The following is a 23,482-nucleotide window of genomic DNA, read 5'->3' as shown; positions in this document are numbered from 1 at the left end:
TTATTTCAGATTAATAATTTGTATCAATAGTGTTGATTTTTGTAGCACATATAATTGTTCAAGGCTTTGCAAATATTTTTGAAGTTAGAAATTAAAACCTACGCTCTTCTGTATAAGCCTCCATGTCCACGGGCTTTATTCTGTAAGTGGTCATTTATTTTTCTCACCGCGTTATCTATTTTCCTATCCAAAAGATATATTTATTTTATTTTATTTCAGCTAATGAAATTTATGCTCAAAAATGTGTTTTAAATATGTACTGATAAGAGAACAGTTCCCTTATTTGGGAGGTGTTTGTAATCTAATGTTAAGTGGGCAGGGAGAAGGATATTACATTGTTTATATATTAAATTATGTTTATATGAAAATTCAAGGGAAAAATAATAAAATTAGCAAAAATCAGTTGGTGGACAGGGTGAACTGTTTTTTTTGGCTTGCTGTCTTTCCCTTTTTCCTATATTCCAAGTGTTGTGTGATTTCATTTGCTTATTTAAAAAACCTAAAAATTAAAGACATCTTCAGAACAAAATAATACGAAGTCTATTTAATTTCATCCACCAAAAACATTTTTTTATGCTTATAACATAACTTATGTTCATTGTGCAAACAAACATGAGATGTTCCAAAAAATATAAATGAGGACATTAAAAAAATCACTGTCATTCCAAAATCTAGCTATATTCTCTATGAACATTTTGCTGTACTTGCTTTCACTCTTTTTTCTCTTCCTTTTTTCTTTTCTGGTTTTTTGTTTGTTTGTTTGTTTGTTTGTTTTGTTTGAGATAGGGTCTCGTTCTGTTGCCCAGGCTGGAGTGCAGTGGCACGATCACGGTTTACTGCAGCCTCAATTTCCTGAGAACAAGCAATCCTCTCGCCTTAGCCTCCCAAGTAGCTGGGACTACAGGAGCACACTACCGTGCCTGGCTAATTTTTTCTATTTTTTTGTAGAGATGAAGTCTCACTATGTTACCTAGCTTGGTCTTGAACTCTGGGTTCAAGCAATCTTTCCACCTTGGCCTCCCAAAGTGTTGGATTATACGTGTGAGTCACCTCACCTGGCTACTCTCATTCTTTTGAAATAGTGTTTAGTGTGATTGCAATTCGAGTATATGTAGAGTGTTTTTTTTTCTTTTTCTTTTTCTTTCTTTTTATGTTTTTGAGATGAGATTTCACTCTGTTGCCCTGGCCTGGCTGCAGTGGAGTGGTATGGTCATAGCTCACTGCAGCCTCACATAGAGGATTTTTTTTTCTTTTTCTTGAAATATCATGGGCATTTTCCATGATGTTACTTTTGTTGAAATATTATTTGTAATGGTTGCTTAGGAGTCTTCAACATGAATAGCCTACAATACATGTCATAATTCCACCATTTTGTCAATGTAGCTGCTTTCCTTGCCTTGCCTTTTACAAATCGTGTTGCACTGAACAACACTGTACATAATATTTTGACTTGTCTTTGATTATTTCCTAGAGATGAAGTCTTAGAAGTGAAATGACTAGGTCCAGGGGCAAAAAAAAACTTTTTTATTCTATTTTTGAGGCAGAGTCTCATTCTGTCGCCCAGTCTGGAGTGCAGTGGCACAATCTCGGCTCACTGCAACCTCCACCTCCCAGGTTCAAGCAATTCTCCTGCCTCAGCCTCTAGAATAGCTGGGACTACAGGAGCGTGCCACCACACCCGGCTAATTTTTGTTTTTAGTAGAGACGAAGTTTCACTGTTTGGCCAGGCTGATCTGGAACTGGTGACCTCAGGTGATCCACCCACCTTGACTTCCCAAAGTGCTGGGATTACAGGCGTGACCCACCACGCCTAGCTAGTAAAAACAAACAAACAAACAAACAAACAAACAAACAAAATATATATATATATAATGCCCTTCCTATGTTTTTGAACTGCCTGACCAAGAGGTGTCTTCAATGTATGCACTTGTGCTCATTAAGAGTATCTTTTAATTCTAAAAAAGGAGAAAAAGAACTTAAGCTATTTTAAAAGATAAAAAATGCATCTCATTATTCTTTCTCAGCATTGCTTTGGTTACTAGTGAGGCTGCGTCTGCTTTTCCTGATTGGCCAGCTGTTGCTCTTTCTGTGAATAATGTTTCAAGTCCTTTTTTTTCCCCGTTAGGATGTATTTATTTAAATAAATACATGTATTTAAATAAACTCTTTACCAGAATTATTATTTCTTTAGTTACAATATTTATGACAAATATTTCCCCATATTGTTCTTTAACTTTAAATTTTGTTTCTTATCACTTTTGGTACACACAAGTTTGCATTTTTACATGGTAAAATGTTGGTTTTGCTTGCTGAGAATTCCTTCATGGCTTTTATGTGTTAAAAGAGCATCTTCATACTTGTCTGAATGTTCCACCTAGATTTTTTAATGTACTTTATTTTATTTATTTATTTATTTATTTTTATTTTATTTTATTTTTTTTGAGATAGAGTCTCGCTCTGTCACCCAGGCTGGAGTAGAGTAGCGCGATCTCGGCTCATTGCAAGCTCCACTTCCCAGGTTCATGCCATTCTCCTGCCTCAGCCTCCCAAGTAGCTGGGACTACAGGTACACGTCACCATGCCCCACTAATTTTTTTTTTTTGTATTTTTTGGTAGAGACGGGGTTTCACCATGTTAGCCAGGATGGTCTCGATCTCCTGACCTCATGATCCGCCCGCCTCGGCCTCCCAAAGTGCTGGGATTACAGGCAAAATGTGCTTTATTCATTTATTTATTTAGAGATGGAGTTTTGCTCTTGTTGCCCAGGCTGGGGTGCAATGGTGTGATCTCGGCTCACTGCAACCTCTGTCTCCTGGGTTCTCCTGCCTCAGCCTCCCGAGTAGCTGGGCTTACAGGCATGCACCACCACGCCAGGCTAATTTTGTAGTTTTAGTACAGACGGGGTTTCTCCATGTTGGTCAGGCTGGTCTCGAACTCCCTAACTCTGGTTATCCACCTGCCTGGGCCTCCCAAAGTGCTGGGATTACAGGCGTGAGCCACCGTGCCCAGCCAATGTGCTTAATTTTTTTAAGTTAACTCTTTAACTCATCTGGAATTATTTTGATGAATGGTGTGAGGCATAAATGGAACCAAGCTTTTCCCAAACAACCAATTTTCCATTATAGTTATTAGTTAATATTTCCTTTCTCCAATTAATTTGTAATTCTTCTTTTTACCACATGAGAAGGCTTTACATCTATGAGAGTCCATTGTCTGGGCCATTTACTTTATTTCACTGGTCTGCCACTTCTTGAACCAACATACCACAATATTTATATTGACACTTTATCTTTTCATATCTGATATGAAAATCATTTTTTTCTAAAACATCTTAGTTATTTTTATTAGTTTATTCATACGGATGAAAAAGTTTAGGATTTTGACACATTTTACCAGATCTCATGGAATTTTCTTTGGTACTGCACTTGTTCAGTTCCCCAATCCTCAATCATGGTAGAGCTGTAGTTTTCCTTATATGGGTCCTGCTCAAATTGTTAGAAATTCTTATTTCTAAGAAATGTATTATGACTATCATAAGGCGATTTTCCCATCACCACCCCTGCTCAGGTTACTACCAATTATTGTTGGAATAACAGAAAGTGTTTTTTTCCCTATTCATCATACACATAGCTACTTGCTGCGATTATGGATTCTGAGAACGTCTTAGGTGACTATTTGGGTTTTCCACGTGGGCCATCATATCTGCAAATAGTAGTATTTCTGCCTTTTTTTTTTTTTTTTTTTTTTTTTGGTATTTCCACTTCTTGCTTCATGTTTTACTGCATTGGCCAGGGCTGGTAGAAAGATGTTCAGTGGTCACGTGAGGTTTTACTACTGACTTTATTAGGAATGCTTCTGGTGTTTCTCATCTGAGTTCCGTTGTCGCTTAGACTTTGAAATCCCTTTTTAAAAATCGTGTTCAGAAAGCACATCTCATGGAAATGACAAATATGAGAACTAAAACCGACAAATTTCTGCCCAAAATCCCACATGCAGAGCCTCCTGGCCTGGAGCCTCCTGAGGCGTCGGTTCTTTGATGACTTCCCATTTCTTTTCCCTTTTTTTTTTTTTTTTTGACGGAGTCTGGCTCTGTCGCCAGTCTGGAGTGCAGTGGTGCGATCTCGGCTCACTGCAACCTCCGCCTCCCAGCTTCCAGTGATTCTCCTGCCTCAGCCTCCCGAGTAGCTGGGATTACAGGCGCCTGCCACCATGCCCGGCTAATTTTTGTATTTTCAGTAAAGACGAGGTTTCACCATGTTGGCCAGGCTGGTCTCGAACTCCCGAACTCAGGTGATCCGCGCGCCTCGGCCTCCCAAAGTGCTGGGATGACAGGCGTGAGCCACCGCGCCAGCTGATGACTTCCCATTTCTTCCTTGGTTCTTTCGGAGCCACTTTGGGAAATTCGGTTCTATCTGCAGTGGTAAAATACAGGTCGGCTCTCCACGCGCGCGGCCAATGGACGCTCCCAGCGCGGACAGACAGGCCCTTTGCTGGAGCTGGGCAGGGCGAAAGGACCCCAGGGCGGGGCTTCAGTCGAGGCCGGCCCCGCCCACCGCTGCAGCCGCGCATGCGCCATGTACAGGCTGCTTTGGGCCCTCCCGCGTGCCGTTCTTACCCGGCCTGCCCCGCGCCGCCGCTTCCGGAAGTGGGTCTCGTCTCCTCCCAAGCGGAGCATTTGTGCCTGAAGCTGCCGGGTCTGCTACGGCACCGCGGGGCTGCAGAAACCCGGGGGCCAAGGGCGGGCTGCTTGCCGCTATGGCTGGCAGTCAGGACATATTCGATGCCATCGTGATGGCGGATGAGAGGTGGGTGGTGAGGCCGGGCCCGCACCCCGCCCTGTCTGGTCGTCTCCCAGCGGCTTCGCCGCCGGCTGCGGCCCAGGGCGGCTGCTGGAGCCTGGCGTCCCTTGGGCGTGCGCATTGGGGAGCGCCTGGTGGCCGTGGACGCAGGGACAAGTGTGGGCCTGATGCTCTGGTCCTCTTCTCCTGGCCCGCTCCGGCGGGGCACGTGCCCAGCTGCTCTTCCAGACCCGCCTTCCCTGTCAGGGCTGCCCCAAACATCTGCTCAGCCTGGTGGTTCCCCTCCTCCGAGGCCGCCTCGTCCTCTGGGAGGACAGACCTTTGCCATCTGGGAGCTGCCTTTTTTTCTGGTTCCTTAATCATAGGACATACGGCAGTATTCATGGATGTGCTGATAGATGTACCCGACCACACCCCTTTTCCCTCCAGAGCCCCTGGGGAGCCCCTCGTGCTGCGACAGTGGGGGAGCTGTGAGTTGCCTCCTGGCTGACTTCCAGTGCCCGGCCCAGAGGACGCGTCCATAGATGTTAGTTAAGAAAGCGGCCGAACATTTAGCAGTCAGGCGCTGACGTTTATTTAGCTCGCGCTGTGAGTCAGACACTGAGCTAAACGTTCCACCCTGGTTATCTACTTCAGCCCTACTTAGTAAGTGGATCCTATTATTCTTCGGAATTTACAGACTAGGAGGCACAGTCACTTTCCAGGGTCACACAACTATTAAGTGGGGAGCTATGCACCCTGCTTCATGGGGCGCTGCAGCCCACTCCTTGCATGTTTGGTGACTGCAGGTTAAGATAGTGGCAGTTCCACTGTTGGGCCTCAGGGTCAGTGCTACTCCGGGTACCAGTCGGAGAACATTTTGTGGTGATCTGATGCCATTTCTCTCTGTTGCCCTACCCATGTGATGTCAAACCCTGTGTATGTTGCAGTTTTTTGGAAGCGGTTGACTTGGGCTAGTGCTACTTGAACACTCACAGAACTTTGGCCCCCTAACTCTGGCTGCAAACCAGACTTATCTAGGAGACTTTGAAAAGTAGATTCCGGGCCAGATGCGGTGGCTGACGCCTGTAATCCCAGCACTTTGGGAGGCCGAGGCGGGCGGATCACGAGGTCAGGAGATCCAGACCATCCTAGCTAACATGGTGAAACCCCGTCTCTACTAAAAATACAAAAAATTAGCCGGATGTGGTGGTGGGCGCCTGTAGTCTCAGCTACTTGGGAGGCTGAGGCAGGAGAGCGTGAACCCGGGAAGCAGAGCTTGCAGTGAGCCGAGATCGCACCACTGCACTCCAGCCTGGGCGACAAAGCGAGACTCCATCTCAAGAAAAGAAAAGTGGATTGCAGGCCAGGTGCGGTGGCCCTCACTTGTAATCCCAACACTTGGAGCGGCCAAAGCTGGAGGATCGCTTGAGCCCAGGAGTTTGAGGCTATAGTGAGCTGTGATCATACCACTGCACTCCAGGCAGGGCAACAGAGACCCTGTCTCAAAAAAAAAAAAAAAAAAAAGGAAGAAAGAAAAGTAGATTCCAGGGCCTTGCTCCAGACGTACTGAATCTCTGGGGGTGAGGCTTTTGAGTTAATATCTTTGAATTTTCCTTGTGTGTTTCTAGTACCCTATCAGGTTTGGGAATCCCTAATTTAGCCCTTTGTTGTAGATGAAGAAACTGGGCTACAAGAGGTACAGTGACTTCCAGAGGCAAATAGGAAGTGGTAGATCTGGGACTGGAATCTGTGTCTTCTGACTTGAATTTTAGGCTTTTCCTCCTTTACTCTGGTTTGTCTTACTGGGTCCGGGTAATACAAGAGAGAGAAGTTTTTCTGGAGAAAGTATTCTTTCTCCTGTTGATTTGATGAAGCATGCTTCTTCTTCACAGGTTTCATGGGGAAGGGTATCGGGAAGGCTATGAAGAAGGCAGTAGTTTGGGTGTGATGGAGGGAAGGCAGCATGGCACGCTGCATGGAGCCAAAATCGGGTCTGAGGTAAGTGGGAACCCCCATCTGGAGATGAAGCCTCTTCATTTACAATTTATAATTTATTTCGATATTCAGTGTGATGGAGTAAGAATTGTCAGGCCTTTTAAAATCACAGTGCCGGATGGGCGCGGTGACTCACACCTGTAATCCCAGCACTTTGGGAGTCTGAGGTGGGTGGATCGCCTTGAGGTCAGGAGTTGGAGACCAGCCTGACCAACATGGTGAAACCCTGTCTCTACTAAAAATACTGAATTAGCTGGGCATGGTGGTGCATGCCTGTAATCCCAGCCACTTGGGAGGCTGAGGTATGAGACTCGCTTGAACCTGGGAGGCAGAGGTTGTGGTAAGCCGGGACCGTGCCATTGCACTGCAGCCTGGGCGACAGGATGAAACTCCATCTCCAAAAAATAAACAAAAAAAATCACAGTGCCTTTGCATGGGAGTTAATGGACTAGATGGACTGTTGCTGGAGAAATATTCTTAGTACAGAACCAAGAGTGCATTTTGCTGTAGGTAGATACAATTAAATTATGCATGCTGGATAAAAGAAAACAAGTCCCTGGTCTCCTTAGTTTACTTGGGAGTGTCATGGTGCTGGCTCATGTACTAAGCCAAAGAATGGGTGCCCTCTGTCATGTGAACATATTCCATTTATGTTTACGTTGAAATTTCATTAACTTTATGATTTTTTTTTTTCTCTTCTTGCCCTTTGTCCTAGATTGGCCCTTACAGATAAGTGGCCCTTAGTGGCAAAGTCTGAGTTGAGGCAGTTATGACTATATTGGATGTTCGATGCTGTGAAACAGATCACCACAAAATTCATGGGCTTAACACAGCAAATATGGATGATCTCACATGTTTCTGAGGGTTGGGAACTCAGGAGCAGCTTTGCTGGGTGGTCCTGGCTCAGGGTGTCAGCCAGAGCCGTGTCACCTGAAGGCTTGACTGGGCTTGGAGGATCTGCCTCCAAGGTGGTGCTGTCACCTGACTGTGGGCATGGACGTCTCCATGGGGCTGCTTGTGTGTCCTCGTGACATTCAAGAGCGAGTGGTCCAAGAGAGCTGGTGAGGCAAGTGACACTGGCTTTTATCCCTAGACTCAGGAGCTTTGTGCTGTTCCTCCACATTCTGTTGGTTACGAAAGCCACCCTGGTGGAGTGTCGAGGGACCTGCACAGGGCATGGGTACCAGGAGATGAGGACTGGGGCATCTGGGAGGCTGGCTGCCCCACCGATGACCTAATTTCCTAATTTCCATTGCCTAATGCTCAACAGGTGCTTCCAGAACAATAGTGTGAGAAGCACCGCTGCCTTCTGCCCCCACCTTTTGTTTTGAGATCTTGGTAATGAAAGTGTAGCTAGTTGCTTATTAATTTCACTCTTAAATATTTTTCACATTCACAGATCGGGTGCTACCAAGGTTTTGCTTTTGCATGGAAATGTCTACTGCACAGTTGCACCACTGAGAAGGACAGGTAAAGGTGGAGATGTCTTTCTTTCTCAGCGTAGGAACCAGGAGTTCTAGTTCCATGGGTTACCAGCATGCCCTTGAGTAATCAATCTGTCTGTTCCTCATCTGTAAAATGGAGAAAATTATCAGTGTCAAGCTTGAGTGTTGTTAGGAGATTTAACGGAAATACTAAATAGAAAGTGCCAGGCACATTTTAGGTGTTTGGTGAACACTGGCTGTTGTTGCTTCTCAAGAGTTCTATGCTCCTGCCTTTTACCTGGAGTCATTAGTGCACCATGTGGCTTTTAGATACCCTACCAATAAAATAATGTTGACATTGATTGTATTTTCTCATTCACCTTTCCCCTGAGCTTCTAATAAACAAATTATAACAGTTTTGTATCACTTGGGCTCAGAGATGAGGACACCAGTGTCATCAGTTTTTTAATGTAGCCAACTAAGTCTGTTAACAAGAAAATGCCTTTAAATGTGTTTAACTCCTTTCTGGAACTTGTCAACACTCAGTAAGTGTTAGCTGTCATTTGAATTGTTTTTAGCCTTTAAAAACTCTTCTCGGCCGGGCGCAGTGGCTCACTCCTATAATCCCAGCACTTTGGGAGGCCGAGGCGGGCAGATCACGAGATCAAGAGTTCGAGACCAGCCTGGCCAATATGGTGAAACCCTGTCTCTACTAAAAATACAAAAATTAGCCGGGCGTGGTGCCATGTGTCTGTAGTGCCAGCTACTCGGGAGGCTGAGGTTGAAGAATTGCCTGAACCCAGGAGGCAGAGGTTGCAGTGAGCTGAGATAATGCCACTGCGCTCCAGCCTGGGCGACAGAGCAAAACTCCTTCTCAAAAACAAACAAACAAACAAAAACTCTTCTTCCTGCATTGTACTTACTGAAGCCCCATGTGACCCTGCTTTATCTATCTTCATTCTGAAGCTGGAAATGAACCCTTGAGATGGTTTGGATACTCTGCTGTTCATGGGCAGCAGCAAGCGCGGGACCTGAGCTGGTGCTCTGCGTCATTCTGACACCTGGTGGCCTTGCCTAGCGTGGGAGGGGCACAAGGAGAGTGGGTAACTCTCTCCCTGACTACGTGACTTGTGCTTTTATTTGAAATATCTTGAATTTCTAGAAATACCTTGAATATCTTGAATATTCAAATGTTTAAGAATGAGGATGCTTGCAACTGATACGGGTAGTTCTTTCTGCTCCGTTTGTACCAGCAGTTGGGAGTCGATGGGATTCTGGGTTAGCAGAGGGGCACTTGAGGACATTTTCCTCCTGGTTCTCAGGCAGCGGCCGGCAGCTGGGGATCCCAGGGGAATCGCTGTTGGCAGCCTGTGCTACCACTAGGTGGCAGTCAAAGCTGAGCCTGGCTCTCAACTCCAGGCCACAAAAGGATGTGTGTTCTTGGAGTTCTCCGCCTGTCTCCCTTCTCCCACAGCGGCAGAATCTGCCGGCTCCTGGAGAAGTGCTCCGCTGTGTGCCAGTGGTCCCATCCCAGGAGGTTGCCAGCCCTTACCCCAGAGCAGGGGTTTGCTGACGTCTGAAAGCAGCACACTCAGTCTAGCTAACAGAGAAGAACCGCTTTGGTTGACGAGGGGCTGGTGGAAGCCCTGCCAGACCCCCCTCGCAGCCGCCCTCATCCCATCCAGTAGTACCCAGAGGTCTCTTTGGAACCTAAGGCTTTATTGTAGAGCAGTGGTTCATGGATGTTTAGATCTTACATGTCAGGTTTTTTTTTTTGTTTTTTGTTTTTTTTTAAATGGTGAAGGGCTGATATTGCATGTTTTACCTGTAAATTTTTCCAAATAAGGATGTTAAGAGAAAAACACCTGCCACCGCATTGTCATTCAGCAAAATGCTGGGCATTGTAACACCAAAGAAACCACGGAGAGCGGCATCTCAGGCCAAAAGATGGTGCTTTCCGTTGAGTAACTAGCTTTCCGGTAAACTGCGTGACACTTCTGTCCCCGGCTTCAGCAGTCTGGTGAAACCCTCCTGCAGACCAGCGCGCACCGGGGCTGAGCACGGGGGCTCTGGCACCATCACTTTTCTTTCATTAGCCCTGAGCTGCTCACACCTGCCTGACGTGTGCCGCCTCTGATGGTGCGCCCGGCTGGGTGTGTCTGAGCAGCATCGCTGACCAGAAAAGTAACCGCTTGCCAAGTGGAAAGTGCGTGGTCCTCTGCATCGGGTTAGCATACAGCCACCTCCCACGTTTTGGCATCTCCCTTTGGTTTCCCTGGAAACCAGGTGCTTTGTTGCTAAAACTGACTTGCTTTGACCTTTCACAGTTTTGTATTTTCTCAGAGAGGTAGCCATGGTTAGCTCTTGTAAACTGGATGCTGCTGGCAAACTTGCTCTTCTCTGTATCCAGGAGCACCAGCTGTTTGCAAGTACACAGGAGGTCTTGGTTGCTTTGAATTGCTGTTGATTCATCCTAACTGTCAGTTCTTTAAAATGCCCGTTAATCGAGTATCTTGCCTACTCTGGCCACTCACATGGTCCAATGCGGCATAGAGGCAGCATGCTTCTCAGGACCACCTGTGGTTCATTGAAAAGACCTGGCCCCACGAGATGTACACATGTGTGGATTATTTTTAAACCCCTGCAGGTGAGAGCCCTGATCTCTAGGATCCAGAGGAAACCAAGAGACCAAGAGACTAACATTTATTGAGCACCTACTCTGTGCTGGAGTCCAAGCTTCATGTCAATTTTTTTTTTTTTTTTTTTTGAGACGGATTCTCACTCTGTCCCCTAGGCTGGAGTGCAGTGGCACAATCTTAGCTCACTGCAACCTCCACCTCCCAGGTTCCAGCAATTCTCCTGTCTCAGCCTCCCGAGTAGCTGGGACTACAGGCACACACTATCACGCCCATCTAATTTTTGTATTTTTAGTGGAGACAGGGTTTCACCATATTGGTCAGGCTGGTCTCGAACTCCTGACCTCAGGTGATCCACCCTCCTCGGCCTCCCAAAGTGCTGGGATTACAGGCGTGAGCCACCGAGCCCGGCCCATGTCAGTTATTTAATCCTCTTGAAAGTCTGTGAGGTTGCTGTTACTCTCCCCATTAAAAAAAAAAAAACAAAACAGAAATTAATTTCTCACCATCTGGAGGCTGGGATGCCCCCCATTTTACAGATGAGGCCAGCAGGGTTGAAAGCAGGTAGAGAGGTGTTGGGGAGATGTCATGCCCAGGGCTGCTGTCTCCTGAGTGCACAGCCTTTCTGCAGAACCTCCTTGCCTCCCCAGCAAAGCTGTTTCCTCCCTGGGGAGGGGACAGTACTGATTTCCGCCTTTGGAGGGAGGGGTTTGCTGGTTTACCTGCAGCTGAACTTTGGAAGGCTTTGAGCACAAAGAATCCAGATCCTGGAAAATCCCCAGACCCAGAGCAGGCCTGCTCGTGCCCAGCCCCAGTCCCTCTTGCCCAGTTCTGTCTGTTTCTGCATGTGTGACCTCGAGAGTCAGCAGGGCTTCTGGCTGCCTCAGCCCCTTGGCCCCGTGGTCGGAATGGAGGCGTGTCTGTAAGCTAGGCACACACTTGCTGTCGAGGCACTGGGTATGGGCCTAAGCTCGTTGCTAGGTAAATAAATATGATTTCGTGTAATGAGAAAATAATCATCCAGCTTTTGAACGAAGGCATTCTTAGCGCACCTGCTGGGTTTCAGGAAGCCAGCAGCATAGCTGTTGTGTAAGTTGAGCCTGTTGTGTGCACATGACTGAGAGTCTGTATTTCTGTGCTTTACAGCAGAAAGATGAAGGTCTTAGAATCATTGATTGGAATGATCCAGAAATTCCCTTATGATGACCCTACTTACGATAAACTCCATGAAGACTTAGACAAGATCAGAGGAAAATTTAAACAGGTGCGTGCACTGTGTGTTTCCTCCTGCTAGGAGCACCTGATTGCGCCTTTCCCAGGCGGGGCAGCGCACTCCCGGGGCCGCTGCGGCAATGGCCTGGGGCTGCGTGCGCCGCGGAACTGTCCGTAGAGGCGCCTCATCCTTGAGTCGCAGTGCAGGAAAACTGAAGACAGTCCAGAGAAAAGGAGTTAGAACTCATTTATGGGCTGGCCACATAGACAGGAAAAGCTATAGCTAGAGATAGAGTTATCTTCTCATTTTTCAGTAAAAATGCACAAGATTAAAAATACCATCTCTTTTGTGTTTTCAGTTTTGTTCGTTACTCAATGTTCAGCCAGACTTTAAAATTAGTGCAGAAGGTTCCGGACTTTCATTTTGAGGAGGATGGATGAACAGAGACCGAACGTCGAGGAACAGATGTGTGTGTGACGTGTTTAGAAATGCGGTGAAGGGCCAGACGGTGCTGGGAAGGCAGTTGTTCATTGGGAGGGTGAGGGTTCCGGTTCGGCCGTGGGAGGGCTTCCTTCCCTGGGGTTTTCTGCCTGTGTCACCTTGGTGCCCGTCTTGGGGCCTCGCCACACATGCCCTTTGTTGGGCTGAAGCCGTCCCTGGCAGAGCCCTCGTGCATTGACTTGACAGCCTCTCCGGCAGCACAGGCCTAGCTGGTTCTGGGTTGGAGTTGGCTCTGGATAGGGTCAGTCACCAGGCCTGGACTGAAGGCAGTTATTTTTATTATTATTATTATTTGCAATGAGAGAGATGGTTGGCCCCGAATGAGGCTCATGGGAGGTTTGGACGGGTGCTGTGCCGCATGTCGAGGCCGATTGTGTGCCAGGCGGTGCGGGACGTGCCTCCCGTGTGTTATTTAATCCCTTCAGGAGCCCACAAGATGGGTGTTATTCTCATTTTACAGAGGAGGGAGGGGAGACGCGAAGGGATTGCCTGGTCTAAGGGCACCCAGCAGCAGAGCTAGGACTTCCGCCCTAAGGCTGTGCCTCACTGCCACCAGGCACAGCCGCCTCCGGAATGCACAGGCGAGTCCCTGCCCTCCCTCCCAGGCCGCACAGGTCCTGCCAAGCCTCACGGAGCACGGGGGAGTCTGTGGTGGCCAGTTTACCTGGGCATCTGGCTGAGAGGAAGAAAGGCCAACCTGATCCTGAGGGGACCCAGACATATCCTTTGCACTGTCCCTAGAGGGGCGATGAGCTTTGCAGCATTAAAAAATGGTGAAGGGGGGAAATATTTTGAACCAAAGACCAAATGTTAGGCCGCCGTTATATTTGCAGAAGCTTTGAGAACCATGCGTATAGCCTCCTGCATTCTCCCCTCTCCTAGGAGCTCTTTTGTCTCTGTCCTTACGAGGCGTCATACAGAGGCAGTGGGGTGGGCACAGATGAGCAGAGTGGATGGTTCGGTGGGTCCCCACGAGGCGAGTGGTGGTCATATGTGATGGCACGTGTTCACACACCCTCCTGTGTACCCCCCCAGGGTCACCGAAGTCCCCACACGCTGGCTCTCCACACCCCTCCTGTTCCAGAAAGCATGTCCGAAAGCAGTCCAGGAGATTATTAAGGGGTCGCCATGAATCCACTTTGGTTTTAAAACCATTCCCGAATGTCCTAGTGGATTGTGTTGTGCTGCCTAAGCTGCCGGCTGCAGGAGCCAGAGAAGTGACCCCCGCGGGAGCAGCGGCAGGTGGATCTCCACGGTGGCTCGCTTTGTTTTTGTTTTGTTTTTTCTTTTAAGACGGAGTCTCACTCTGTCGCCGAGTTTGGAGTGTATTGGCGCGATCTCGGCTCACTGTAACCTCCGCCTCCTGAATTCAAGTGATTCTCCTGCCTCAGCCTCCCTAGTAGCTGGGATTATAGGCGCCCCCCACCACGCCCAAGTAACTTTTGTATTTTTAGTAGAGATGGGGTTTTGCCTTGTTGGCCAGGCTGGTCTTGAACTCCCAGCCTGAAATGATCCACCCACGTCCACCTACCAAAGTGCTGGAATTGCAGGCATGAGCCACCACTCCCGGCCTGCTTTTTGTTTTTGAAGACAGGACTTAGGTCTCCTCCTCCCGAACTCTAAACCTGCGTGTGTGGCTGTGCACCGCTCGTTTGTAGCGTCACCTCAGGTCTGGGGAAGTCTGTGCTGGCATCTCCTCATTGTGCCTTCATCAGAGCTGGTGCCTTCGGGCCAGAAAGACTCTCGTTCTTTCTAGATGGTGGGATCAGGGGCCTTTGCTGTGTTTCCCTTGGTGGATTTTTGTGTTTTGTAAGTTGTCTATTTTGATAATGTATTATTTTTATAACTGTAAAAAAAGTAAATAGCATATTTTAAAGTGAAAGTTTGGGACCATTTATAACACAACGTCATTTATAACACGGCATCATTTATAACACAACATCCAGCCAGTTTATTTCTTCCTCCAGGGCATTTAGGATCTGGATATGAAGGAAGACATGGGCCTTAGATTTCTGCCAGCTTGTCTCCTTAACCTAGCGTAGACACAGCCACTGCGAGAGTGCTCCCATTGTGTTGGGGACTGGTCAGCTCCTGCTCACCTGGCCCAGCCACCTGTCAGCAGCTATTACTAATCCACCCTCCCCGAGACATCTCTATGCCCACTGTCCCCCACCTTCTCTCCCTTCCTCTCCTCTTTTTTCTTCTCCCGTCTCTGTCTCCTGTTCTCTCTCCCTACTCCCTCTCTGCCTCTTTGGCACAGCTGGCTGAGCAGCATACTGCCACTTCCTCCTCTGGTTTGCCTCACATGGGAGCCAGGGCTGCCTCCTCATCTTCAAGATTCTCACACACTCTGCTGACCTACGCCTGCCTGGCCCCTTTCTAGAGGACGAGACCCAGTTTCCGGGAGCCCTTGGTCACCGCCAACATTGCAGTATGGACAGAGCCCACTGTAACAGGTGCTTCCGTCGTATCCAGGCAACGCCATCCTCAGCTTTTACACTGGGAATGAGCATGTCTGTGTCTCCTCTTCTGCTAATGAGGTGTTAGTAGAGGGTCCGACCAGTCCCCAGCACAGTGGCCCACTCTTAGAATGGCTGTGTCTGCTGGGTTAAGGAGATGAGTTGGCAGAAGGTCCTCCGGGGGCTTCTGGGAAAGGTTACGTCATTCCAAAGAAAAGGTGCTGGTGCTATTTTGGACATCATCCTGTTGGGATGCGGCAGCTAGAACTGCTCCAGGCATCTTGCAGGCTGGCTACAGCTGAAGCCACCCCTGAGCCTGGCAGAGTGAAGAGCTAGGAAGAACCTGCGTCCTCGGTGCCACTGCTTGCTGTTCCCACCAGCCCTGAGCCACCTTGCTCACACCTGTGAGCGCTACCCGTCCCAGTCCTGCAAGGCTGTGGCCCTGGGTGTCCGCTGTTTGCGGACAAAGTCTGCTTGCTGTCTTCCCCATCCCTGCCAGGCCCATCCCGTCCCGCTAGTTCCAGACATCAGCCTTTGTCCAGAGTGGCTTTGAGTTTGGGAGCTCCTGGGGTTGGATTGCATCCCTTGCGGTTGGTTTCCCAAGGCTCTGGCCTGCTCCTTCCTTCCTGTCAGAAGCTCCCAGCGTGTCGTCTGCCACTGTCTCAGCTCAGGCTGCCACCACAGCACCACTGATGGGTGGCTTCAACAGCGGTCCATCTTCTCTCGGTTCTGGAGGCTGGAGTCCGAGATCAAGGTGTCACAGGGCTGCTCCCTCCTGAGGCCTCTCTCCTTGCCTTGCAGACAGCTACCTTCCCCCCGTGTCCTTACGTCTTTCCACTGTGTGTGTCCTCATCTCTTATAAGGACCCCAGTCAGATTGCATTTGGGCCCACCCTTACAGCCTCATCTGAACTTAGTTACCTGTTAAAGACCTCACTCTCCAGTCACATTCTGAGGCACTGGGGGCTAAGGCTTCCACACAAGTTTTGTGGGGACACGGTTCAGCCCCTCACAGGACCCTGGCTGTGGCTGCTGGATAGACTGCTGAATTGGGACTCGGGAGAAGAGAAAGCCATTTCATGTAAAAGTTGAAGTTATTTCAATTAGTTTTTTCTAGAATGTTAACATCTAGGCACAAGCAAGAGTAGTCAGTCCTCCACTGAACTCTCCACTTTGGAATCACCTCTCAGAGTCACTGGATGGCCAAAGGGAACTGCCCAAGGGCCACACTGCTGTCCTAAAACACGACCACATTTCACTTTATTTTACATTCACCCCTTGACATTTTTTTCTCTAACCAGTGGCAAGAAAAGAATGATGAGATATGGAAGAAGGGACAAGAGGCCTATTTGCTGAGTGGCTGCTGGTGGCCTGCCCTTTACCAGGATTATCCACCAGTGCTGGAGGCAGGGCTACCACCCTCACTTTGCAGAGATATGAGGCCCGGCTGAGAACAAGTCTAGTGGTCACAGTAAGTGGCCAACTTCAGGCTTGATGGGGCGCAGCAGGGCTTGAGCAGGTTGCATGAACGATTCGCTTCCTGAGGCCGTTATTTTAGACATGTCTTCTTCGTCAATGCAGAGGCTTGTTTTTCTGGGAATTTGCAGCCTGTCTTCAGGACCAGTCTTGCATCTGGCACAGCAGTCCCCAGCCTTTTTGACACCAGGGACTGGTTTTGTGAAAGACAGTTTTTCCATGGACAGGGCTTGGTGGTGGGGGATGGTTTGGGGATGAAACTGTTCCACCTCAGATCATCAGGCATTAGATTCTTGTAAGGAGCACGCACCTTACATCCCTCACGTGTGCAATTCACAATAGGGTTCCCGCTCCTATGAGAATCGAATGCCGCTGCTGATCTAACAGGAGGCGGAGCTCGGGCGGTAATCTTCTCTTGTCTGCTGCTCACCTCCTGCTGTGGGGCCCGGTTCCTAACTGGTCATGGACTGGTGCCGGTCCACAGCCTGGGGATGGGGGACCCCCTGATCTAGCAGACTGAGGCCAGATTGAGGCAAAAGCAGATGAATTTATGGAAAAGGATCCATGCTGGCAGCCTGTAGGAGAGGCAGTGCCTGGATGGGTCTTTAGCTGCCCCAGACCCCGTGAGCAGGTCTCTCCTAGCGACGCCTCTGGCACTTTGGGAGCCCAGGGGAGGGGAGGGAATGAGAAGGTGGGCAAAGGAGGAGATGACCTTCGTACTGAGCTTTGCGAGCGTTCATCTGGCCTCACAACACCGCGGAGAAGTCTCTCCCACTCTACCTGAAAACGCCAACGTAATCTGGAGATACCAAAAAGTGTCATGATCACGCAAGCTTATCCTAATTCCCACCGTTATTCTGGTCCTTAATGAATCAAATGAGGAACTGGTTTGTGACTCAGGAAACTGAAGTCACAGAGTTCTTAAGATCTGAGAAAAATGGGTCACTGTGTTTGGTGCTTCACAGGACACGGGGCCTGCAGGCGAGGAGCCAGGCCTCAAGGGTTCAGTGAGTTGTCCAAGCCAGCGTGACTAAGGGTTCCGCTGGGACCTCTCAGATTAACTTCCAAGAAGGAAAGCCGCTCCTTGCGCATACACTTTTTCTTAACTCTCCCCGGCTGGTAAACTCAGGTGGCATCGAGGCCTTGGCGTCTACCCCTTGGTGACACCCCCATCAGGATAACGCCTTGGCTGTGTCTCTCTGGCACCCTTTACCAGAGCAGCTGGGCTTGGGTTGCAGGGATGGAAGCCTTTATCTCAGGCGATACCTGAACATGTAGAGTATGTGATGCTTGCTGAGCTAGAGGCTCATGGATTGATGTCCCTCTGCTGGTTCCAGTGAGTATGTGCCCCTGAAATTCGAGGGGACTGTGGAGGCTGCTTCCAGGCTTTGAGAGCCCAAGTCTGTTGCAAATTGAATTGTATCCGCAAAAGGAAACGTTGAAGTCCTAGCTTCTGGTACTTTAGCTTCTGTGACTTTACTTGGAAATAGGAAATAGGGTCTTTGTAGATTTTTTTAAGATGTAAATTGGGCCAGGCGAAGTGGCTCACGCCTGTAATCCCAGCACTTTGGGAGGCTAAGGTAGGTGGATCACGAAGTCAGGAGTTGGAGACCAGCCTGGCCAACACAGTGAAACCCTCTCTCTACTAAAAAGAATAATAATTTAAAAATTAGCCAGGCATGATGGTGGTGCCTGTATTTCCCAGTTACTCGGGAGGCTGAGTGAGGCAAGAGAATCACTTAAACCCGGGAGGCGGAGGTTGCAGTGAGCTGAGATCACGTCACTGCACTCCAGCTCAGGCAACAGAGCAAGACTTTGTCCCCCCCCAAAAAAAAAGATGTAAGTTAAGGTGAGGTCATACTAGAGTAGGGTGGCCCCTTCGTCCAATATGACTGGTGTCCTTTTAAGGGGACGGGAGCCAGTGGCACAGAGGAGAGACTGCCACGTGAAGACATGGGGCCGATAGCCCTGTGAGGACAGAGGCCGAGTTTGGAGCTGCGCATGGACCAGCTGAGAAGAGCCGAAGGTCGCCCGAAACCACCAGAAGCTGGGAGAGAGCGGGCACTGCAGACACTGCTGGCCTCTGGAACTATGAGAGAAATGTTGGTTGTTTTAAGCTGCTGAGTGTGTGAAAATTCATTACAGCAGCCACAGAAAACTACAAGGCCCCTCTCCCTGCCTGGGCTTCGTTTGCTGGTCTGGAGGGTAAGGGTGCCGGCCACACCATCCAGACACTTCTGGCCTTGCATGTGGGGCCTCCTCAGGGATTTGCCTGGACTCCCCCAGGTCTCAGCCGCCACTGAGGGCAAGTGGCGGGAGCCCCCGAAAGGCGCTGTGACCGCAAGGCTCACTCTCCAAGAGGCCTCTGCCTTCTGGGAGGCGCAGCTGCCCTGCACAGAGGACTGAGTCAGGGTCCACCAGAGAAGGCTGGCTTGAGCCTCTCCCCTGGTCTCAGCCCCTGCAGGCACTATCCGGCCTCAGAACTTGGGATATGGATGTGGTCAGGCCCTTTCTCCAGGTCAGTTTGGTCACACGTGTGCTCTGTTACACACAGAGTGTGTGCCATGGAAGAGGGACCTGTCCCTTCAGACAGAGCAGTTCTAGGCATACTTCTGGGCACTGGTGGCCCCAAGAGGAGTCATTCCCTGACCCTGTGGAACTCCCAGCTAAGCAAGACAGGCATGTTGAAATTCCAAGATCACATGGTAACTTTGTCAGTCGCTCCTGTTGTTTATATCAATCATAACATGTTAGATCTAGAAGAGGTAGAAAACACACACAAGCGGCCGGGTGCGGTGGCTCACGCCTGTAATCCTAGCACTTTGGGACGCCGAGGCGGGTGGATCACGAGGTCAGGAGATCGAGACCATCCTGGCTAACACGGTGAAACCCGGTCTCTACTAAAATACAAATAATTAGCTGGGCGTGGTAGCGGGCGCCTGTAGTCCCAGCTACTCGAGAGGCTGAGGCAGGAGAATGGCGTGAATCCGGGAGGCAGAGCTTGCAGTGAGCCGAGAGCAGGCCACTGCACTCCAGCCTGGGCGAGAGTGAGACTCCGTCTCAAAAAAAAAAAAAGAAAACACACACAAGCTGTAATAGTTAAGTGTCTTTGAAAACCAAATGACACAGTGCCCATATCAAACTGACTTAATGAAGGACAATGATTGGCTTCTGGAACAAAAGGGGGATGACTTCAGGAGAGGCTTGATCCAGCAGTTTGTCTGGAGACCCATTCCCTGCTTTCCCTCAGGGCTGGCCTTACGCTCAGCCTCCCCTGTGAGGTCCTGGGAGCAGCTCAGTCTTCCCTTAGGGCTGCAGGGGGGCAGTGCCACCCCTGGGCTTGTGTTTCCCTGCTGGGAATCCTAAGGAAGGGGGAAGCATTATCTTTTTCAGAAGCTCCAGAAAATGTCTCCTCAAGACTCAATGGCTCTATTTGATTTCTCACCCATCCATTAACTTGCTGCTCTTCTGGTGGGTGTGGATGTGCAGTTGGGTTTCAGCCTATGAAGACCTGGCCTGGAGCTGGGGATGGGTTCGGTCCCACTCAAACCACAGATCTGGGAATGGTGGTTCCCTGGAGCAAAGTCTGGGTGCTGTCAACACCAGGAGGGGGCATCCGTGGTGTCAAGAAGACCCAGAACTGTCTACTTAATGTGCCAAAGGAGGGAAGTAAGATCGGCTTTGGTGCCACCACCCAGGCGGCCGCCGTGGCATGGAGGCCTGTGCTTCCAGACCTGGGCAGTGCATGGAATGCTGATGGTGATTATGCGGATGCGCCGAGGGGATGATGGCGTTCCCTGAGTGATCACTGCACCCCAAGCTCGGTGCTCAGCAGTGCTTCACACACATTGAGCCATAGAATCCTCAGCACCCCAGAAAGAATTCAGTTATTGACAGAGATTTATGGAGCCCCCGTTCTGTGCTGGTCGTTGTCGTGAGTAGGAGATGGAGACGACTCCCCATCATGGGCTGTGTTCTTGCAGGATTTCCCCATGTTATAGGTGTGAACATTGAGGCCCAGAGAAATGAGGCCGCACAGCTGGAAAGCTGCAGATCCGAGATCCAACCCCAGGGCCTTTTACTCCAAAACGTGTGTGCTTAATGTGTGCCTATACATGCCGGTGAGTTTTCTTTTTAAACAGCTGGTCACCCTCAGATGTCCACTGCCGGCCTGTTTGGCTGCCCTTCTCCAGGCCAGCAGCCAAGACACAGTGCCGCCCGCAGGGGCAACCTACTGGGAGCCTCGAAACAGGTGGAGCTGGCGAAGCAGGGCCCTGAGCTGTGTGCGTGGGGCCTGGCTGCAAATGGCCCAATGAAGCCTCCGTGCATTTCCCTTTTTGAAGCTTGAGCCTTTTCTTCTCCATGAGGCTGACCCACCAGGCTGGCTTGGTCACACACTAGCTGTGCAGTCCTGGCTCAGTTACTTTACCTCTCTGGGCCTCGGTTTACTCATCTACAACAGGGGTCGGCAAACTACCACCCTCAGCCTGAATCCAGTCTGCTGCCTATTTTTGTAAATAAAGCTTTATTGGCACACAGCCATGCTCACTCATTCACAGAGCGGCTGCAGCTGCTTTTGCACAGGGCAAGAGAACCTGTGGCCCACAAAGCCTGAAGCCTCTCTCTGTGGCCCTTTCCAGAAAACCTGCCAATCCCTGACCTAGCAGATGGGATGATTGTGTGCGGGAGAGTGTAGGCTCTGGGAGGGCAGGGCTGTGTCTGTGGCTGCCACCAGAGTGTCCCCTCCCTGTCACCAACCCATGGGGTCGTTGCAAAACTCAGAGAGAAACTGTGTTCGGTGTTGAGCACAAGGCACACAGTGCGTGCTCAGTAACCTCCAGCTGCGATTCCTCCCGTGATTAAACAAAGGCAAGGAGGACTGCCTCGACAGGCTCAGAGGGCCCAGGGTCTGGAATAGGAGCTGATCCTCGGGTTAGACCACTCAGCTCTTAAAGTGGCTGCCGGTTGAGAGGCTTGTCTCAGCTGCCGCTAGGTGCAAATTAAAAGGATTAATGGACACCGCCGTCTTTGAAAGGCTCAAGGCCCACCGAAGCCCCTTCAGCAGAGGGCTCTGCATTCTCTCTTCCCCAGCCCTCCTTGTGTGCCCTCGTGAGTGGCGGTGACAATGCTCCCGGATGTGGGCCCCAAGGCCAGCGGCCCCAGAGCTGCCCGCCCACCCGTCCGCCTGCTATTGTCTGCTCAGGCCTGGCGGTGTGGCGCTGGGCTTGTGGGGCCCTGGCGGGCAGGGGACTGTGGGAACGGATTAGAGGTCCTGGGCTTGCTTTCCTCGTCTTGCATAAACTCTTGATCAAAGACATTCCTGGGATGACAGAGCCCTGTGAGCTGCGAGGCTGGCCCAGAGTGCGGGACGCACACCCCACGCTGCAGCCCCTGCACAGGCCTGCCCTTGCTGGCCCTCGCTGGCCCTGGCTGCAGTGCTGACTTTGGGGACTAGCCTTATGGTGGGACTGGTGATAGAGCGGGTGCCAGCAGGCAACACAGCCTTCCCCACCAGATTCAGAGGCCAGGCCCCCAATGCTGGGCAGAGCGAGGCTGTGACTGCTTCCTGGGGTGCTTCAAGGAGGGTCACGCTGCATGCAGGGTAGCCGGAGGGATTGCCGGATGCATGCCACTGCCACTGGACCTGGCTTCTCTGGACTCCCATGGGCAGTGCACCACCCTCTGCACAGCCCTAGCCACTGTTATCCCACAAGCGCGGTCCGAAGTCCACGTGCCCACTCTGCCCAGCCTCCTTCCTCTGTCCCCTCAGGGCCTTTCACTCCTTGTGACAACTCTAGGTGCTGTCTGGGCTCCTGGGGAACCCCCGACCCTTCCAGCCATGGAATCAGCTCCCGGCATGCGGGTCAGGCTGGACCCATGGCTCTGCACCTCAGCCCAGCAGCTTGGGGCTGCCCTGTAGGAGCCGACACGACCTCCCTTCCATTCGGCCCCCTTCCTAGGACCCACTGTATGCCAGGGTGGGGAGACGGAGGCAGAGAGAAATCTGGGAGATTTCCGTCCTGGAGGGGCTCAGCCAGAGCAGGAAGGTGCCCAGGCATGACAATCCCAGACTCCCAGAACCACCTGCCTGCTGTGGGGTGGGGAAGCCCTCAGAGAGCCCATCCTTACAGTCAGAGCAGAGATGAAGGTTCCTGTGGACCGAGGCGGTGGGCCAAGCGCAGAACAGGAAGCTGGATGCAGTCTGGTGTGTCAGGAGCTCCTGGGCAAAGACATCGAGCTTATTGGGGTCAAGGCTGGGGAGAGATGGGGCTGAGTCCCAGGGACCTTGGACGGAGCTGAAGGGAGATAGGAAGGCTGGGGGTTGGGGGCAGAGGATGAAGAATGGATGAGGACTGTCTGGCTGCAGGGAGATGGGCCAGGAGGCAGGGCAGGTAGGGGTGGCGGGCGTGTGAGGACAGGCTTCTGCGAAGGGGCTGCAGGGAGAGCTGACTGCGGAAGGCTTTGTCTCTGAAGTTCCTCAAAGGTCAGTTTTTACCATCACCCTCTGGGTAGCGCAGATACTCCAACAAGGGACGAGGTCTCCACTGAATCCCAGGAGGGGTTGCAGGCACAGAGGTGATGTCAGTGGAGTTTGAGAGTTGGGAACAAGGGCCTAGAGTGGCCAGACGATGCCTTTGATATGGTTTGGCTGTGTCCCCACCCAAATCTCATCTTGAATTGTAGCTCCCATAATTCCCACGTGTTGTGGGAGGGACCCGGTGGGAGGTGATTGAATCATGGGGCAGTTTCCCCTATACTGTTCCCATGGTGGTGAACAAGTCTCAGCAGATCTGATGGTTTTATAGGGGTTTCCCCTTTCACTTGAGTCTCATTCTCTCTTGCCTGCTGCCATGGAAGACGGGCCTTTCGCCTTCCGCCGTGATGGTGAGGCCTCCCAGCTACGTAGAACTGTGAGTCTATTAAACCTCTTTTTCTTTATAAATTACCCAGTCTCGGGTATGTCTTTGTTAGCAGTGTGAAAACGGACTGATACAGCC

General features: G+C 50.4%; 2 protein-coding genes across 3 annotated transcripts, besides 7 other annotated features; both read left to right on the top strand.

The window, feature by feature from the left end:
- Nucleotides 4,281-4,480: an enhancer, noted in NCBI's record as "active region_5160". NCBI's record gives its function as "activates an Ori minimal core promoter by ATAC-STARR-seq in GM12878 lymphoblastoid cells {active_cell/tissue: GM12878}" and the evidence as "EXISTENCE:reporter gene assay evidence [ECO:0000049][PMID:35858748]".
- Nucleotides 4,281-4,850: a biological region, named in NCBI's record as "H3K27ac hESC enhancer GRCh37_chr11:69489913-69490413".
- Nucleotides 4,350-4,850: an enhancer, noted in NCBI's record as "H3K27ac hESC enhancer chr11:69489913-69490413 (GRCh37/hg19 assembly coordinates)". NCBI's record gives its function as "activates a minimal SCP1, AML or CMV promoter by ChIP-STARR-seq in primed H9 embryonic stem cells {active_cell/tissue: H9 hESC(primed)}" and the evidence as "EXISTENCE:reporter gene assay evidence [ECO:0000049][PMID:30033119]".
- Nucleotides 4,642-14,432, top strand: LTO1 (LTO1 maturation factor of ABCE1). Of its 2 annotated transcripts, XM_006718470.4 has the most exons (6): nucleotides 4,642-4,805; nucleotides 6,674-6,779; nucleotides 8,176-8,246; nucleotides 11,983-12,100; nucleotides 12,408-12,516; nucleotides 13,586-14,432. In XM_006718470.4, the coding sequence occupies exons 1-5, from the start codon at nucleotides 4,756-4,758 to the stop codon at nucleotides 12,474-12,476; spliced, it is 414 nt and encodes a 137-aa protein (XP_006718533.1). In that variant the 5' UTR covers nucleotides 4,642-4,755; the 3' UTR covers nucleotides 12,477-12,516; nucleotides 13,586-14,432. The 2 variants fall into 2 exon arrangements, with proteins under 2 accessions (XP_006718533.1, NP_703152.1); NM_153451.3 differs by having other exon boundaries at nucleotides 12,408-14,432.
- Nucleotides 4,971-5,060: a silencer, noted in NCBI's record as "silent region_3697". NCBI's record gives its function as "represses an Ori minimal core promoter by ATAC-STARR-seq in GM12878 lymphoblastoid cells {active_cell/tissue: GM12878}" and the evidence as "EXISTENCE:reporter gene assay evidence [ECO:0000049][PMID:35858748]".
- Nucleotides 18,140-18,640: an enhancer, noted in NCBI's record as "H3K4me1 hESC enhancer chr11:69476123-69476623 (GRCh37/hg19 assembly coordinates)". NCBI's record gives its function as "activates a minimal SCP1, AML or CMV promoter by ChIP-STARR-seq in primed H9 embryonic stem cells {active_cell/tissue: H9 hESC(primed)}" and the evidence as "EXISTENCE:reporter gene assay evidence [ECO:0000049][PMID:30033119]".
- Nucleotides 18,641-19,141: an enhancer, noted in NCBI's record as "H3K4me1 hESC enhancer chr11:69475622-69476122 (GRCh37/hg19 assembly coordinates)". NCBI's record gives its function as "activates a minimal SCP1, AML or CMV promoter by ChIP-STARR-seq in primed H9 embryonic stem cells {active_cell/tissue: H9 hESC(primed)}" and the evidence as "EXISTENCE:reporter gene assay evidence [ECO:0000049][PMID:30033119]".
- Nucleotides 21,521-22,248: an enhancer, noted in NCBI's record as "H3K27ac-H3K4me1 hESC enhancer chr11:69472515-69473242 (GRCh37/hg19 assembly coordinates)". NCBI's record gives its function as "activates a minimal SCP1, AML or CMV promoter by ChIP-STARR-seq in naive H9 embryonic stem cells {active_cell/tissue: H9 hESC(naive)}" and the evidence as "EXISTENCE:reporter gene assay evidence [ECO:0000049][PMID:30033119]".
- On the top strand, nucleotides 22,080-22,797 carry LOC124902704 (uncharacterized). Its single transcript, XM_047427985.1, has one exon. It carries the CDS (start codon nucleotides 22,080-22,082, stop codon nucleotides 22,782-22,784), a length of 705 nt encoding a protein of 234 aa, XP_047283941.1. The 3' UTR covers nucleotides 22,785-22,797.
- Nucleotides 22,798-23,482: the final 685 nt, after the last annotated feature.

This window comes from Homo sapiens, chromosome 11 (assembly GCF_000001405.40).
Source record: "Homo sapiens chromosome 11, GRCh38.p14 Primary Assembly".
NCBI classification, from domain to species: domain Eukaryota; kingdom Metazoa; phylum Chordata; class Mammalia; order Primates; family Hominidae; genus Homo; species Homo sapiens.
Note: the sequence above shows the minus strand (reverse complement) of the source record. Positions and strands in the feature narration are given on the sequence as shown.